Source organism: Homo sapiens, chromosome 8, assembly GCF_000001405.40.
Source record: "Homo sapiens chromosome 8, GRCh38.p14 Primary Assembly".
NCBI lineage: Eukaryota > Metazoa > Chordata > Mammalia > Primates > Hominidae > Homo > Homo sapiens.
Window position 1 is genome coordinate 32,414,052 of NC_000008.11, and position 18,675 is coordinate 32,432,726.

The 18,675-nt window shown below is 38.4% G+C and overlaps 1 protein-coding gene and 1 long non-coding RNA gene across 11 annotated transcripts in view; both read left to right on the top strand.

Moving 5' to 3' along the window:
- Nucleotides 1–18,675, top strand: part of NRG1 (neuregulin 1) — a 1,134,802-nt gene that overhangs the window by 774,807 nt on the left and 341,320 nt on the right. The gene's annotated exons all lie outside the window — the stretch shown is intronic.
- LOC105379361 (uncharacterized) lies at nucleotides 9,569–17,598 on the top strand. Its single transcript, XR_949651.3, has 3 exons — nucleotides 9,569–14,839; nucleotides 15,186–15,264; nucleotides 15,650–17,598. It is a non-coding gene; the product is annotated as an uncharacterized LOC105379361 (long non-coding RNA).

Genomic DNA, 18,675 nt, shown 5'->3' on the forward strand with positions numbered 1-18,675 from the left:
CTTAGACCACTTTGGACTCAGAGAAGGCTGTGAGGTAAGGCATGTTCTAATCTTGTTGATGGAAGTCCTAATGTGTCTTAGAAGATTTCTGGTCATCACTGTCTTTAGGGACTCAGAGTCTTCCTCTAAGTTAGTTTCAGGACCCTTTGAAGTATTGGCATTGCTGGCTCAGTCCACTGGCTCTTTGGCCTTCACCTGTCTGCATTATGGTTATAGCTGAGATGCCAGGAAAAACACAAGATGAGTCTGTTCAGCTCGAAGCTGACTCAACTGGTTTCTACCACCTCAATTCAAACTAGGAATGAGATATTTTTCTTCCTTTGCTTTTTAGGGCAATTAATGTTCCCACATATCTCCCTTTTTCTTGCCATTTCTTAGCATCCTAAACACTAATTTTGCAAAATAATGTTGTAAATGCTTTGCATAGTCACTATCTTATGTTGCCCTTCCTGTTCACAAGACAGCCGTCCGTGTCAGTTGAAGATTTCTATAGATATGCATCATCTCTGATAGATAAAGGCATGTTTCAGAGACTATCCTGGTGGGAGTATTTTACTTTTGAAACCAACTAAATCTGGTTTTGCTCCTGTTTGTGGTACTTTATTTCTCCCTGTAGCAGGAGAGTAGTGCCAACGTGCCTGGAAAATCAAGTTTCAAACCTCTATTGCATTTTAAGCCATGTTTTAGAATCTTAGGGTCAATTAATATTAGAGTTCGACAAAATCTCTGCTCTCAAACAAAATTATATACAAAAGCTCAGTAAGTAAACCAGGTAAATGTTAAGGTGCTTCGGTTGAATCTAGGTTTAGGAGTCCAGAGAATCTAACTCAAACCTGGCAGCTGGAGGATACCCAAGAAACTCCCTGGGCTTAGTAGTGTACAGTGCGAAAAACAGCGATCTCATCCATGTCCTTCATTTTAGGGAGATGATACCTAAACTTTGTGGGTTTTATTTCAAAGTCACATGTTAATTAGTGGCATTGTGAGGGAAGCATTTGAACAAAACTCCACTTTATTAGATCTATTTTCTGTAGTGTATTTCTGTGGGGGAATGTGTTCTATAGAAGGCAGGTTTCACTTTTAAAAACAGGGATGTGTATAATCCCAGCACTTTGGGAGGCCGAGGCAGGTGGATCACCTGAGGTCAGGAGTTCAAGAACAGCCTGGCCAACATGATGAAACCCCGTCTCTATTAAAAATACAAAAATTAGCCAGGTGTGGTGGCACGTGCCTGTAGTCCCAGCTACTTGGGAGGCTGAGGCAGGAGAATTGCTTGAACCCGGAGGTGGAGGTTTCAGAGCAAGACTCTGTCTCAAAAAAAAAAAAAAAGAAAGAAAGAAAAAGAAAAAGGATGTGAAAGGAAAGAGTTTGCAAAAAAAAAAAATGCGGCAATCACAATACATTTATGTCTATTCATATTATTTGAATTTGTCATTTTCTTCAGTGATTTTTTTTCCTTGGGTTGTTCTTATTTCTACATCATTATGTTTATTATATGAAGGAAGCAGTCAGCCTCATGTTTATTCTCTGGTAGAGAAGAGGAAAACAGTAATTTTTGAGCATGAATGCATAAGACCATACAGTTTATGGAAATGGCTGTAGCTTCTCTAACCTTTCCCCTTTCATACATACTTGTTTCCATGTACACTTCATTCCCCCTTTTTCCCCCTTTAACTCTCTTTGTATTTGTATCCCTCCTTCCCTATGCCCTTTTTACTCAATTCATTCCCTACATCACAACCTGTGGTTTTTGTATCTGATCATAGTTTTCACCCTATTGAAAATCATGGCTGGCCAAGTACATGTTAACAGGAAAATTCTGGACAGTCCCTTTGTACACAAACCTTACTGCTTAGTTTCATCTGTGCAGATTGCTGTATACTCAGCCCTGCAGCAGAGAGACCACACTGCAGCCTTTAGTAGGAAAAGGATAGGAATGACAATACACTGCAGACACTTTCGTGAGTAAGTTGCTAAAGCGTCAGTAAAACATCATGGTGAGGCCTCTGCAATCAGCCTGCTTAGATTTAAATGACAATTCTGTCACTTACAAATATATAACCATTTGGATAGTTATGTTTGCACTTTAAGCCTCATGTTAGTTATCTGGAATAGTATATAATATTACCTACCTTTAGTGTCATCATAAGAATTAAATGATTTTTGTGATATAAAGTGTTAAGTGTGGTGCCAGACCCTGGCAAAGTTGGTAATTGTCCCCTTCCTTCCTTCCCCGCTTTCACCTTCCTTCCTCCCTCCCTCCCTCCCTTCCTTCCTTAATTCCTTCTGTCCTTCCCTCCCTTCCTCCTTTCACCTCCTTCCCTTCCTTCCTTCTTTCCTTCTGTCTCTTTCACATGCCTTCTTTCTCTCTTCCCTTCCTTCCTTCCCCTCACCATTCTATGAGGGCATAACTGGGAGGGTTAATAGAATGGATATCTAAAGCAGCGATTCTCGAATATAGGCTTTTAACCAGCAGAATCAGCATTACTTGACCCGAAAACTTGTTAGAAATGCAAACACTTAAGTCTCACCCCTAAGCTCCTGATTCAGAAAATCTAGGGTTAGGGTTTAACTGTCTGTGTTTTCCTTGTTTTTGTTTGTTTGTTTGTTTTGTCGTTGTTGTTTGTTTTTTGTGGTTGTTTTGTTTTGTTTTTGAGACAGGGTCTGGCTGTGTTGCCCAGGCTAGAGTTCAGTGGCACAATCTCAGCTCACTGCAGCCTCAACCTCCTGGGCTCAAGCGATCCTCCTACAACAGCCTCTGAAGTCGTTGGGACCACAGGTGCACCACCACGCTTGGCTAATTTTTGTATTTTTGGTAGAGACAGGGTTTTTCCATGTTGCCCAGGCTGGTCTTGAACTCCTGAGCTCAAGCAATCCTCCCACCTTGGCCTCCCAAAGTGCTGAGATACAGGCATGAAGTCACTGTGCTTGGCGTTTTAACCAGCCTGCCAGATGATTCTGAATTTGAATATCCTGGTGAGAGGTTTTAAATCATGCAAGTGGCTGTCTGCCTCCAGTTAAGGTAAAAAGGGAAAGGCCTCAGCTTACACTGTGGTTGAGCCATATGACAGGACATACAAACACTATTAATATTACTAGAGAAGCAACCAGCACCGTTTTGAATAGCTCAGTCTATTGGGGGTGTGCCTTCTACTCAAGATGTAAATAAGGATAGGAAAAATAGCACTAGTATCAACTGCCATACAATTATTTAGTCACCCTTGGGTAACTAAACAGCATAGGTATGTTGATCAAAATGCCCTTGAGTAATTGTCAGTGGAATTTTGAACTCTCCCCAATTCAATAAGATACTGCTGCAGGTATTGGTGAGGTACAGGGAGCATCTAAATGGACTGTCTTTCATTGTCTTTCTTGAGGGTTCTAATTCTTTGGTTTTCTGGAGAATATTATAGGATAGAATGTATATCAGAAGTGAGACTTGGGAGACCTGTGTGACCTCCCAAGCATGACAATATTCACAGATATTCAGATCCATAGAACACTTCAGGAAATTGTCTTTATGTTCAAAGATCTCATAGAACATTTAGTTGGATACACTTCCCACACACATCTCTCCATTTGATATAGAGTCATTATCTTTTCAAACTTTCTTTTTGGTCTTTTACAGAAGAACCTGTTAGGATATTCTCAAGATTTGTTCTAGTCACACGGGGGTGGAGGGGGAGGGGGGGTGTGTTATAGAAGTAGCTCTAGATCATTTAGCTTAAGAGTTAAATTTTTTGCAAAAATACTTTGTGGTGGATTTCTGATGCCAGTCCGCATAGGACTTTTATTATTGTAATAGTGTTTTGTCTTTCTTTTTTAAGATTAGGAAAGTATATTCACCATAATATTTGTTGTTAATCACTTATTTTTTATGCACCTTTTCCAAAGCAACTATATTGTCCTTATCTTGAAAAATGAAAATAATAGCTTCCAGATAAATCCTTATGATAGTTTTGCTATCACTAGATAGTGGCAGAGGGAAACAGAGGAAAAGGAGATCTATGCATTGTCTTTGAAAGTCAAGATTATTATACTAAATGTTTTTGAAGCATTTTGAAAATACAGCGATATTTACTTATAATTCTCAACTATATTACAGTTACTGGATCTAAATGAGAAGTTTGTTCATCTGTAAAGTATTTGAATGCTAATGGTATTCTTCTAGTCTAGTGCATTCAATTAAAATATAACGTGTGTTACATATGAAGTTAAAAATGTTTAGTAACCAAATTAAAAAGGTAAAGAGAAATAAGTGAAGTTAATTTTAATAATATATTATCTTTAACCTCTTTTAATAATATACTCTCTTTAACTCTTTAATATATTTAATAATATATTCTCTTTTATATACATAGAACATTGTCATTTCAACATGTAATCAATATAAAAAATATCAATTAGATATTTTACATTCTTTTTTTCACATTAAGTCTTTGAAATTTAGCACGTATTTTACACTTACAGTACATCTTAATTTGGACTAGATGCATTTCAGGTTCCCAATAGCCATATGTGTCTATTGGCGTTCGTATCATATTTATCATGGCAGTTTTAAATGTATTAAAATGATAAGTCTATAAGGTATCTTCTTAAGTAAATTCTCCCAAGTATAACAGATATCAGAGGTAATATACACCTACAAATAATTATTGCTAAAGTAAAATTTGTAAAGCTATTGACTGTCAGTAAATATGTTTAAGAAACAGTTTTTCGTATTACTCTAAGATTGTTCTTAAAACCAGCATTGCAGTTCAGTAGACAAGTGCAGATATTTGAAATAAGATGTTTTTATACTACCTATGTTTAAATTTCATGAGCTTCATCCAGCACTGGATTTTCTGGATTCTGAGATATGCTATTCACATTTCAACATTTATGAAAACAGAATACATCTTACAATTAATGTGTTCATTTAATGTAATCATACTTCTTGTTTTCCTGAAACTGAGTTGGAAATCATCATGGAAAATAGGTTCTTCTCAACACAGGAAGAGTTCTCAGCTATTGTATAGTTGTGTTTTTGAGAACATGCTTCAGCACTTGAGAGATGGATTTCCTAGAGTTTTTCTTAAGGATCAAAATTAAAAGGTGGAAATATACAAACGCTAAATAATGGAATTAAGCATTGGCCTTGGATAACAGAAGGTGAAGGAGATAAGAGACAACTTTCTGTTCCAGCTCCACTTTAACCACAGGGGACATAAATATATGGGACCTTGTAGTATTTAACCTTGTTAATATCTCCATACTGTTTTGCAGTAGGCGTTGGAACAGAGCTTCACATTTTTCTGGTGGAGGAGCCAGTGATCTCTGGATGGTGAAAATATTCTCTAAAACAGACTCCACAACTACAATGACCAGTACAATGTGTTTTCTATGCCGCTGTCCTCTGTCAAGGGGCATCACAAGTGGCTGGCCTATATTCATGTAAAGGTAGAACTAGACCCCAATCAATGTGCCCTATAAATACCCAAGTCTTTAAATACCCTTAGATAATAAAGGTAAAAGATGCAAGAAAAAGAGGACTGGGAGAGTGGGCCAAGTTTATAGTTCTTTCAAAGTCTATTTGAATTATTTAAAACCATTCTTTTTTTGTTAATAGATTTTAATTCTCATACATGTCACATGTTTCTTTTGCAGAATTCAAAACATTTTTAAAAACACCCATTTCAATAATATTGCATGCAAGGTAAACAAGAGGTTAGAATAACTAGTACAACATAACGCAGCTTGACTAGAATACCTCGTCATAACACAAGTACATCTTCTTTTACATTTATGCAAAGTGAAACATTGTCTGTCTCTCTCCATAGTCCAGAAAAATCTGTGGGGTAATTGCTCATTGTCCCTTCACACCCTGTTTATATTGCGCGTCTTCTATTTTAATAGTCCCAATAAACAGATGGAACCACAAAAACACAGCCGGGATGGCTCAGTTGGTCAATGGCATCAGAGAACTTAAAGTGCCTGATGCTGATGACTCTTCCAGAAGGCAATCCTCTTATGAGGGTCAGGGTCTAGAGAGTCCACGTTGCTGCTCGTACTCTCTGTGTTTAATTCCAGCTAACATGACAAAGTGCAAGCGTATGACAAGGACTTTCAGTGTGACCATCAGCTGGAAGAAGCCAAGTGCGTACAGCTCCCGGTGGGGTGGCACATGCTCCTCTTGTGACTTAATGGTGGCTTGTGGCTCCACTTCCCTTGGGGGTTGTTTTTGTTGTTCTTCTCTCAGGACCACATTTATTTTGATGTTTTAAAAGAGAAAGAAAAGTTCCAAAAACTTCCTTTCTCGTATTTCCTCTTTGAGATCCAGCAAAATTTCTACAACTGGCCTTTTCCAGATGGCTTGCCCAGAATTGCTGAGAGTTTGAGGCACCTCAAGCTCTGGGCTCAACATCGAAGGTTCTTTAAATGTGCCTTTTATCCTTTAGTTTCTGTCACTTGATGATGGGTGACCACCCTCATCTCTCTCTCTCTCTCTCTCTTTTTTTTTTTTCCTACTAAACATGAGATTACTGGAAATATTTCATGATTGGATACATGCTATTGGTTAATCCATTTAACCAAACTCCCATCAATGGATGTGGAGTGTTTACAACATTTTTGCTCTCATAACAGTGCTTGACAATGTAGGGATTTGTCAGGTTTTAATCCAAATAGGGCTTTATGATACTTGCCATTATACTATCAGATACTTTTTCCCACTGATATGGTTTGGCTGTATGTCTCCACCCAAATCTCACCTTGAGTTGTAGTCCTCATAATCCCCATGTGTCAAGGGCGGGACCAGGTTGAGGTAATTGAATCATGGGAGCAGTTTTCCCTCATGCTGTTCCTATGATAGTGAGTGAGTTCTCAGGAGATCTGATGGTTTTATAAGGGGCTTCCCCCTTCACTTGGCACTCACTCTGTCCTGCCCCTTGTGAAGAGGGTGCCTGCTTCTCCTTTGCCTTCTGCCATGATTGCAAGTTTCCTAAGGCCTCCCCAGCAGTGTGAAACTGTGAGTCAATTAAACCTCTTTTCTTTATAAATTACCCAGTCTCAGGTATTTCTTCATAGCAGTGTGAGAACAGACTAATACACTCATCTTTTGAATACATTATGTGAAGTACAACAATTTTTTCCAAACCAAACCAGACCTGGCTAAATCCTTTACTATAGACCCCAAGATTGAGAGAGAGGGAAAAAGGAATTGATCTGAATCAAATTTGCTGTTATCAAGAAGTAGGGTAGGGAAGGGACCAATATGAGATGTACGAAAATTGGCTCCCAAAGTACAGAAAAATAAAGATTTGACTTGCCTACTCCTGGCATACCATTTGTAGGTTCTGGCCAACATCTGCCCTTCTCTGAGCCTGGAGCTTCTCTCTTTCAAATGGGAGATAATTGCTGGGCAGCTAGAGCTCACAGGCACGCCGCATGATGAGTGAGGTCATGTTAATAAAGCCCTGGGAAAGAAAAGCAATGTGAAACAGCAGGGCTATTACCGTTCCAAGACGATTTTATACAAGTGAAGCTTAAGTTCAGTGTGATGATTAACAAGCTATTAGAGCCAAGTTATTGATTCCTCTATCTTTAGAGTAGCTAATGCAGTGTGCACCAATAGGCCACAGACCCCAAGCTTTCCTTCTTCCTGTGCTCCTGTTCTTTGTAATGATGCTTTCCTTAGGAAAATGAAAATCACTTCGCATACACAGTGCAACATCTTTAAGGCAGGTGCCAGCAGAGAGGAAAAACACCTAAGCTGATTTTGTGTGTTTTTATTATTTTTTCTGATAATAAAGATTAATGCAGATACATGAAAAAAACAAAACATAAAAAGTAGGAACAGAAAGTCAAATACTGCATCTTCTCACTTATAAATAGGAGCTAAATAATGTGTACAGACAGGCATAACAGAACGGAACAATAGACACTGGAGACTTGGAAGGGTGGGTGAGTGAGCAGGGTTGAGGGATGAAAAATTACCTTAGAGGTACAGTGTACATTATGTGGATGATGATTTCACTAAAACCCCAGACCTCATCACTATGCAATATATCCACATAACAGAACTGCACTTATACCCATAAACTTATATTTAAGAAAAGAAATAGAAAAAAGATAATTTTTTTAAAGTAGAAAGAGGGAAAAAAGTAAAGCATCATCCCAATTTCTTTCACCCTGAAGCAGCTAGTTTTGCTAATATGATCATATACCTATCCACACATATGTATATGATCATATTAAACATATTAGTTTATAACTTGTTCTTTGTTCCTTTTCTAACATACTCCTCACAAAATAATATCATTGATAGTTTCCCATTTCAATTAAAACAGATATCAATATAATTTATCAGCAAAATATTTTATGGATGTGTGTACAGTTTTGGTTAATCCATTTAACCAAAATCCTCTTGATGAACACAGAGTATTTACAACATTTTTGCTCTCATAACAATGCTCTGATGAACCTCATGCATTCATCTTTGAGCTTTTGACCAATTTTCCTTCTGTGGTAAATTCCTGAAAGTAGAATTGTTGGGACAAAAGATTTAGAGATTTTGTATCTTTAAACATATTACCAGTTTGCCAACCCAAAGGGTCATATGAGATTACTTTCTGCCTACAGTGTAGTAAAGTGCCAGCTTCTCCCAACAACCTTGCCAACGTTGGGTATTGTCAATTTTTTGGCTCTTTGCCAAGCTGATAGGAGAATGGAATGTCTAATGGTTTTTGAATTACATTCTGACTGTGCTGCATCAGACTGTAACTGAATGCAGTTGTGATGTATCAGGGGACCTGGTTTAACTCAGCACACTGTTTGAATCTGTGTAATAACTAACTATGATATAATCAGGCTTTCTTGCAGTTTTGAAAAAGAAGCCAAACTTTCACATGGTTTAAATTACTCTCTCATTTACACTCTCCATGTGTGAGATCACCTGGGAAGCCCTTTGGAGATGCCCCCAGTGACCCAGTACAAGTTGTCAACTGCACTCCCCATGAAAGAGAGATTGTTCTGGTCCAAACCCTATGCTCTAGAGGAGCATCTTGGAAACAGCACTGCCCTATAATTGATATTGCTCCATTGGGTGGCCTGTGGTATTCAATTCACTGGAAAGTATCAATCCCTTTGCCTTCAGCAATAATATTTTCACAGTTTTGATGTGTTTTAAAGGTTATTGTCTCCAGGACAGGTAATTGAGGAGGCCTCACACTTCATCAGAGGCCATTTCATCTTTATTACACAGCCACACACAAGGCAGCATTTTCTCCTTTCACTGATGGATTATTTCAAGATTTATAAGGTCTGGTCTACATGAAAGCAAACACATGTTTGGGTACACAGTCAAATAATTCAAAGATATAGGGTCAGCAGGATCCTAATATTAAAGTCAGGACTTCCAGCCTGGGCAACAAAGTGAAATCTTGTCTCTACAAAAAATACAAAAAATTAGCCGGGCATGGTGGCTCTCGCCAGTGGTCCCAGCTACCCGAGAAGCTAAGGTGGGAGGATTGCTTGAGCCCCAGGAAGTGGAGGCTGCAGTGAGCCATGTTCATGCCAGTGCACTCCAGTCTGGGCCACAAAGCAAGACCTTGTCTCAAAAAATGATAATAATAAATAATAAAAGTCACAACTTTTTCCTCTTCTACCTGTGCCAGAGACCCACTACCTAACCCACATACACACAGACACACACAAACACACCATACACTTATTCCTTTCTTAAAATGTGGCTTTCAAATATTTGCTTTGCATGCAGTTTTCTCTGAAGATATGACCAGTTTCAAGATTATCTACTCTAAGTTTTCTGACTGGTTGTCAGTCAGTCAGTTTGGAACCCTGCCATAACATATTTTCCTCAAATTCCTTGCAGATACTGGAATAATAATGAATGGGAATGTTATTTTGAGCCGATATTTGGAAAGTCCTTATTTGGAATTCTACAAGTTTATGTCTCCTGCCCAGTTCCTAAGCCCTCTTTCTAGATAACCATCCAGAAGATAATCATCCAGCAGCTATCCGGGTACATTCGGCTGACTTGGTTAGTTGGGTCTAAGCAGTATATCCATGAGTTCTAACTCGGGTTTCTCAAACTCTTTTTCCTTTGGGTTTCTCAGACTCTTCTCTCAAACTCAAACTGCCTTCTCCAGTCCATTGCTAAAGCTTGTATGACCTTTGCTTTCCCTCCATTTCTTGACTTGTGGCATCCACTAGTCCTACATTGTAGGACTAGTGTGAGCAGGTCACTCAGCCTGAAAGCACTCACCCTGGGCCTCTAGAGCTAAGTTGCCTCAACACACTTCACTATGGCTTCTCAGAGCACACTCACCTTGAATGTTTAGAAAAGGTAATCTTTTTGGGGTTCAATGAGATCAAAAGCACGGATACCAATTTTGGGATCAGGAATCAGGAAAATCTGGGAAATGAAGAACGAAATGAGGCCTTACCATTTTGATACAAAGTTCATATTCAAGTGAGTCAGGAGATCTGGTTTAAGTTCCAGATCTGCCTCTTACTAGTTTTAGAATCTTGGGCAATTCTAGGCTGGACGTGGTGGCTCACACCCATAATCCCAGCAATTTGGGAGGCCAAGGCAGGTGAATGCTTGAGCCCAGAAGTTCAAGACATGCCTTGGCAACATAGGAAGGCCCCATTTCTACAAAAATAAAAATTAGCCAGGCATGGTGGTGCATTCCTGTAATCCCAGCAATATGGAAGGTGGGAAGATCACTTGAGTCCAAGAGGTCAAGGCTGCGGTGAGCTATGATCTGCCACTGCACTCCAGCCTGGGTGAGAGTGAGATCCTCTGTTAAAACAAAACAGAACAAAACAAACAACAAACAAACAAACAAAAAAACAAAAAAAATTGGAGGGAATTTAGTTCATATATTTGAGTCTTTGTTTCCTCATCTAGAAGATGTAGTAAAGATAAATGAGGTCATATATGATTGTCCCTGGCATAATATTTTGGTACTTATTGAAAAGCAGCTATTGTTTTAAGTCCTTTGCATATACATTTCTATGATTTACTATATATCAGTAGCATTTCTCCAACCCATCTTGGCTAGGCAAGCACCACTGAATATGAAGGAGGCCAAATAGAATGATACTATCCAAGCTGCAAAGAAACAAACAAAAGAAAACATCTAAATGCATGCCTCTTTGGAATGGCATTTGCATCCGTTGCCAATATCCATAGAACAAATGCCTTCAGGCAGGAGAAGTTGGGATAATGTCAATGTTTTTAATAGCTGTAGTAGAGTCCTATTTAGAAAGCAGTAATTATCTCTCCATATTGATTTTTTACATCCCCTCAATAAATCCAGAAGAAATGTGAAGACCATCTGTAAGTGTGATTTTTACCAGGATCAGACTCTAATTTGCAATGGCTATGTGTCTGTTTGATTTAGATCAGGGGTTAGCAAACTGCAGCCCACAAGCCAAAACTACCTCCCCCATCTATTTTTATAAATAAAGTTTTATTGGAACACACCCATCACACCCATTTCTTTATATCTGTGGCTGCTTTCATGCTACCATGGTTGTTTTATTTAATTGTAACAGAGATCTAAGAGATCTAGAGCCCATATTGCCCACAGAGCTGAAAACATATGTACATCTAACCCTTTGCAGGAAAAAACTTGTTAAATCATGATTGAGATTATAGTAGTATTATTTCTGATTGACTAGGTAGTAATTGGTCCCAGCATGTAAAGTTTCTAATATTAAAGTCACACGATAGAGGAGCTAGAGGCTTAAGAAAAGTATACATGAATTTATTTATTTGGAATAGGAAGGGAAACATCCCTGGTATCATCATGATGGCATATAGAGGCAGGGCTGAGAGCTAGAATACAGAATACGTCCTTTGCTAGAAACAGTTTCTCGGGCTGGGTTAGAGTGGGTAGAAACTATGGATCATCCTGCCGCAGGTCCAAGTAAACAGGATTTGGCGCTCTACATAATGGCTATAAAGAAACATAAAGGTGATTTCTCCAAGTGTTATGCTAGGTGAGAAATATTTAATAAGTAAGAGCAATCAGAATTGGTCCCATATTGAGAAAGTCTGTTTTGGAGCCCAGACTAAATAGACTGTGCAGTGAGAAATGAAAGGTCAATTTAGGTAACTTCATTTAGGGCAAAATCATGACTTAGGAAATCATGACTAGATAAATATCCAGTGAAGAGCAGGGAGAGAAGATTCATCAATGGCCGTAGGTTGCTGTGAACTACAGAACTGAAACATCAATGTATGAATAAAGTGCTGTATTGATGGACAGATGTGTGCATTTTTATGTATATGCCATAAAAAATCTGAATCAATTTCTATTTGAAATAGAGAAAAGCTAGTTCAGATGTTAGAAACTTTTCTGACGCAAAATATTGTGTAATTCATAAACAATTCCTTGTGTTTTAGTTTACAGTATGTCCAGAATATAGGACTTGCCTACTGTAATGTATAAAACAAAAGAACTTCAGGTTGATTTATTTGTTAAGTAGTAGACATTCTCCTAGGATGTTTATGTTTGTGAAGATGATAAATGGAAGAATACATCCACAGAAAATGTAGACACAGGCCCTTCTCTCCCAGTCTCAACACCACACCCTACACACACACAATGCCTTCCTTCTAACCTTGTCTATACTGTCTCTGCAACACACAAAGCATATGCCCAGGATAAGCTTCTCTTTCAACCACCTATCAGGCTTTCAACATGTGGTTTGAAAAGATAGTGACATTGCTATGCTCTGACATACACCGTAATGTCAGTACAGCAGAAGCAAGTGGAAGATTCTACTTTTCCGATAAAGATCAGTTGCTGTTTCCTGTCTTGAAGACGAAAGTTGAGCAAAAGCAAAGGTCATCTGTGTTTATATTAACAATGTAAGAGTTATACTACATTTTCGCAACAACATCAGGTCATTATTTATCCACTTGTCCTTTTTTTTTTTATCATTCCTTTGAACTGCCTGCATTTGCTTATCGTGATATTTCTCAGTCTGTAAACAGCCCGAGTAGCTGTTCTATTTCTCTAAATAGAGTCTTAGGTCATTTTATTATCCAGAATTGTAAGTCATCAGAATGCACCCATCTGTTGTCCTTCCACATCTGGGCTAACTTTAACTCTTTAAGCCCATAGAAAAAGTAGAAAAGCCATTGTGATATGAGTTTGATACTTTTTTCCTACCATACTGCTTTCCAGCATATGGTTTTCCCTGAAAAATCACAAGGAAATATTTACAAATATCTTATTTTTCTTTGGACATGGCATTAAACGTGGTAGATCCTCCATCTCCACTTGGCTCTTTCTGATTTTCTGTTACCCTAATTATCCTTCCTGCGATCACAGCTGCTCAGAGCCTCTTCTTACCAATTTAAAAAACCTCTAAAGATGTGACGGCTGCCTTTCCAGTGGCCAACAAGCAGATTTCCATAGCAGAGGAGCTGCGACTGGGGCAGAGAGCCAAAGACAGCTTGTGCCAACAGCCTTGTCAATATGCCAATCATCTTGTTACAGTTTATTACATGCGTGACTTGATTTTCTTGCATGTGCGTTTTAGAGGTAACAACATATTGGTAAACCTGTTTTCAATCCTTTTGATTACCTTCAATTTGATAGCTCCTTCAGTAATGAAGAAAAAAATGGGCTATTGTGTTTGAATTACATTTATCAAATGATTCTAAGATTGTTCTAACGTGTGCGACAGGATAAGCTCTCTTTTAGTCACCAATTGGAGAAATATGCTCAGTGTCAAGGAAATGGAGAAATGCCTCATTATTTATGTTGACTAATGTATAAATACAATATGAACAGGGGCGGTTTCAACCCTGCAAACGTTTTCTTCCAAGTTGCTCTGTATTTTAGCTAGACTAGACTAGATTGTTCAGTGGTCACAAACTACCCCAAAATCTTAACAGTTTACAACAACGGAAGTTTATTTTCTAAATATATAACATCCACTGAGTGTTGGCCAGCGTTGACTGGGGGTTGTTCTCCACATCACGTCCCTAAGGGACCAACAGTGTTGGAGGAGTCTCTCTTCTCATATTGATGTTCACCATGGCAAAGGCAATGATCACAGTGAACCACATGCTACATTTTAAGCTTCTACCTGGACACCACACAAGTCACTTCCACTCCCATTTCGGTGGTAAAGCAAGTCAATTCAAGTCTGACTTCAGCATCTTTGGGAAATATAATTCCACCCCAGGAGGGGAAGCAGATATGGGTGAAATGTAATAAAATTCACCTCTCCATAAAGTCCTAGTAGCATTGTTTTATTTGAGTGAATTCTTTTTTTTTTTTTCTTCCTTACAGATCCTCTTTAAAACATCAGCCTGGAAACAGTATCTGTAGAAATCAGTTTTGTTAGTTCTAAAGCAGGGCTTCATTGTTGGGATGTGTTGTCTGCCTTCGTTAGCAGATTTCAATCATAGCCCTAAATGGAAGACACATTTTAGGGCTGTTGCTGCTATAGAACTCCAGGTCTTTCTGCTTAACGGTTTCACACTTACGTGTGAAGGGAGGACACCCTTGGCCAAAAGAACCAAGGCTGCTCAGTTAGCTGCTGGTTGTCCTCCAGCAAATTCCTAGAACTAAATACCTGGTGCTGAGGTGTCACGACTCAGCAAGTCCTAGAACCTGTGCTTATGACAGCACTCTGATAATTCCCGGTTATTGCATCACTCCCTGATGGAAACCCAGCTTTTATTTCAGCAAAAGTAATGGATTGTTCCAGACCCCTGACCTCCCTTGAAGATGTCTTTTTGTTGGATCTGGCCCTGTATATTTTCCAGTTGGTTCAAGACCTAGAGAAATTTCTACAGACTCTCTCATACCAGGTAGGTTTTTGTTTGTTTGTTTGTTTGTTTTGCTTTTGGGATAGGACCTAGTCATATTCAGTCCACATTGGAAAGCATAAATTAGTGTAACATACATAAGCTTGTTCATTCCACTCCATGTGTTAGGTTTTTGTTAGTGAACACTGACTGCAAAAATACCAAGGTATAGCCTTATGCAAGCCAACATAGTCACGTTGGACATTAGTGATCTGAGGGTGGAAGTGAAATGAAGTACGGTTTTTTTTTTCCAAGTCAACTAAACGAACAGGCTGTATGTTTTACAATATGAATTGGGTTGTGATATACAAAGTGTTTATCCAAAGTTACCCTCCTCTTTGTTTTTTAGAATGACAAGACCCAAATGGGAGAATTAGGCCAGAAGCAACAATGCCCTCAGGCTTAGTGAAATTGACCAAAGTTTGAAGGTAAGTGTTTTCAGACCCTGGTTTCCTAGGACCAAGTCTTGGCCTCATCAAACATAATCACAGTCTCCTTTTACCACTTTGGCCCAAACACTATGAAGCCTTTTGCCCACTGGCTCAGCTTCTCTTGCCATATACTGATTATTAATGCCAGTAAAATACCTAGGCACCTTGGCAGTAACTTACGCAAATATGTATATTTCTAATTACAGGGAAATTGTTAGAACATGACTTGGATTAGAGATACACAGCTAATAATTCAAGAAGAAATAATGCTTTGTTTTCAGTAGAGGAAAATAAAAGCTTCATTTGAATAATTTTTCCTCCTTTCTCTCCCTTTTTGTTTTGATACTTACGCATGGGCAATACCGTAAACTGGCAATAAAAGAAGTTATCGCAAACAGTGTGGCCATTTCTCCTCAGACACTGGACATCCTACATCTGTTATATGGTTTACCATCCATCCACTTCCTTGCTATAGCTCCAGGTCCACAATTCTTTGTCATGTCATTGCTCTTGACCTATACCATGACTGATAACCATGTACATTTTTAAGAAAAAAATGTAAATTAATTAAAATAATTTAAAAACACATATCCATATGGTGTTTGTGCATATATTTTGCTTTTTCTAATCTTATCTTTGTAGTTCAAAAAGGTTAAACCTGAATGTGATATGTGTGTGTATGGAAACTGAATGCACTATAGGTTCAAATAGGCAAGGAAGTTGCTTAGTAACATCCTGTTCTTGACTGTGCTATCATAATTTGCATTTTCCAATAAAGTGTGTTTCCAGCCTTAGGACAGTGCTACTATTATTGCTGGTGGATTTTGTAATGTAAGCTTGACTCATTCAGTGTCAAGATCACCTAAGGCCAAATTCCCATTCCACACGAATTCTCTTTCAAGGGATGTCCTACCCTTCAAGATGCCCTTAAGAATTCTGGATTCCTTAAATATAGAACTATTTATGCTTACTCATAAAACAGGGAATGTTATAATATTTCTCTGCTTCACTGTGTCCAAGGAAGTAGAGAAATCTGGTACCATATTTATGAGCAGCAATAAACCATGTGTTTTGCTTTTTCCTAAAACAAGCCTGGCAAACTGTTTAAGAACACATGTGCAGAGCTTGGGCACAGGGTGAGAGTTTGGTGGCACGGAGTGAGGCTAGAGGTGGGCGTGTGGAGAGTCTGATATCCTGATATCAAAGCAATTCCATTCAGACTTAGGCCTGAGCTGCTCCCAGTCATCCAAGTCATTTTTACTAATATCTGACAACTTGCAAATATTGTGTTACGTTCAACACTGAAAATGAGGACTGTGCATTTCCTTTTGTCTAAATGATGATTAAATGGTGAAGCAGCTACAGAAGTATTGACTAACGACAGCATCCATTTACTAGAAAATATGTCATTTGCTACTGCAAACATTTATGGTCTGATTATACCTCATGTTACACTGCAATGGTTTGGGTTTTTTTTTTTTTTTTGTATTTTTGGTACATCAGAAACACTTTTCCCAATGTTTGTTAGTTTAAGCATTGTTCAACATTTATTTATTAAGCATTGACTTTATAAAATAGGTACCAGGAATATGAAAATGAGTAAGATATGTTCCCTGACATCCAGTAGCTCATAGTCTAGAGATGTCACCATAATAATAACTAGCATTTATTGGACACCACCTGTGTCTCCTGAAGCCTGTTACCTCATTTAATTTTGACAAAACCTTATGAAGTGAATATTATCACACAAACACACACATTTAGAGAATGAATGTGAGGCTCAGAGAAGTTAAACACATTGCCCATGATCACAGAACCAGTTAGTGGCAGAGTTGGGATTTAAGCCCAGATCTTTCTGATTCTAGAGCGTATGTTCTATCTATGAAGCTCTTACCGATTTTATTTTATATCAAGTGAACTGTGTAATACATAAAGTCACTCAGGAAACAGTACTGGATGGGGATTATGATACTAGGCAGTGCTTACTCTAGCAAATAGGTATCAGAGCCCTGGCATAGGTCCTCACTTTTGCTAGGATTCTGTCCTACTCCACCCTTGCTGATAAACGGGAAGCCACACGTCCTGGTCCAGCACTTATTCTCAGGCCTCCCAGGGACACTCACTCTCCATCACGTAGTCTCTTCCCTAAGTAGTCTGTGTTTCCCTCTGCCTTGCGGGTAACTTCATCTGTGTGTACCAAACCTGTCACCCCTCTTAGTAGTCCTCAAAAGACAAGACTTCAAGGGAGAGTTAATATTCTCAGAGTTCATCAGAAATACCTGTTTCCAAGGTCAAGACCCACCTTAGAAAGGAGGTCTTCATATACCCTGTCTGTGCTTATTTTGTGTTTTCACAACACAAAATATTTTAACGATGATTTAATTTAGTTGTGTATTGATAGTCTCTGTCAATCTCTCAGGGTTTTTTTTTTCTGAGGGAAAAAATTACATTTTGTAATTTTTTAATTTAGAAACAACAGCAATAACAACTTGAGTCGGTGACTTCTGAACCATTTTTGTTCTGATTATCACTGTAAACCTAAATGTGTGAACACTATCAGTAGGGATAATATTTACCCTATGGGACTGTTAAGCAATTTAAGATGAGATAAGAAATGTCACAGGGAAAAGGTGTTACTCCACACATGGTAGTCGTTATTATTTATTGGGTTGAAGTGTTGGCCTCCCAAAGGGCAATGGTGATTTAATAGAATATAAGCAACTAAATCCCAGGTTAAAGCAGTGAATTCCTAATTGTAGAATTTTCCTGTTAAACTATCAGGTGGGAAAGGCCTGTCAAGATGTATATGGAAGGAGTGAGATCCTTGAAATAATTAATACACCTGGTATAACTCCCATCATTAGGTAAACCTGGGCTCATCCCTACTAGACAGTAATAGAAAATTAGAGGATAAAAGGATAGTCACAAAAATAAATAGAATATATTGAAAGCTAACTATGTACTAAACAGTGTTCTAGGCATATTTTACATTTATTAATTCATTTAAACCTCTCAACTCCCTATAAAGTAGACATTACTAATTATCTCCCTTTTACAAAAAAAGAAATCTGAACCTAAGAGAGTTTAAAAAATTTGCCCAAGACCACATAATCAGAAGGAAGATTTTGAATCTGATTTTTCCTCACAGCAAAGTCCATGCATTTTCCACTTTATCACACCGGTTTTTGTTTTTGTTTTTGTATTATTATTTTTGAGACAGAGTCTCATTCTGTCACCCAGGCTGGAGTTCAGTGGCTCTCAGCTCACTGCAACCTCCGCCTCCCAGGTTCAAGCGATTCTTGTTTCTCAGGCTCCAGAGTAGCTGGGACTACAGGTGTGCACTTGTATTTTTTAGTAGAGACAGGGTTTCCACCATGTTGCCCAGGCTGGTCTCGAACTCCTTTTACT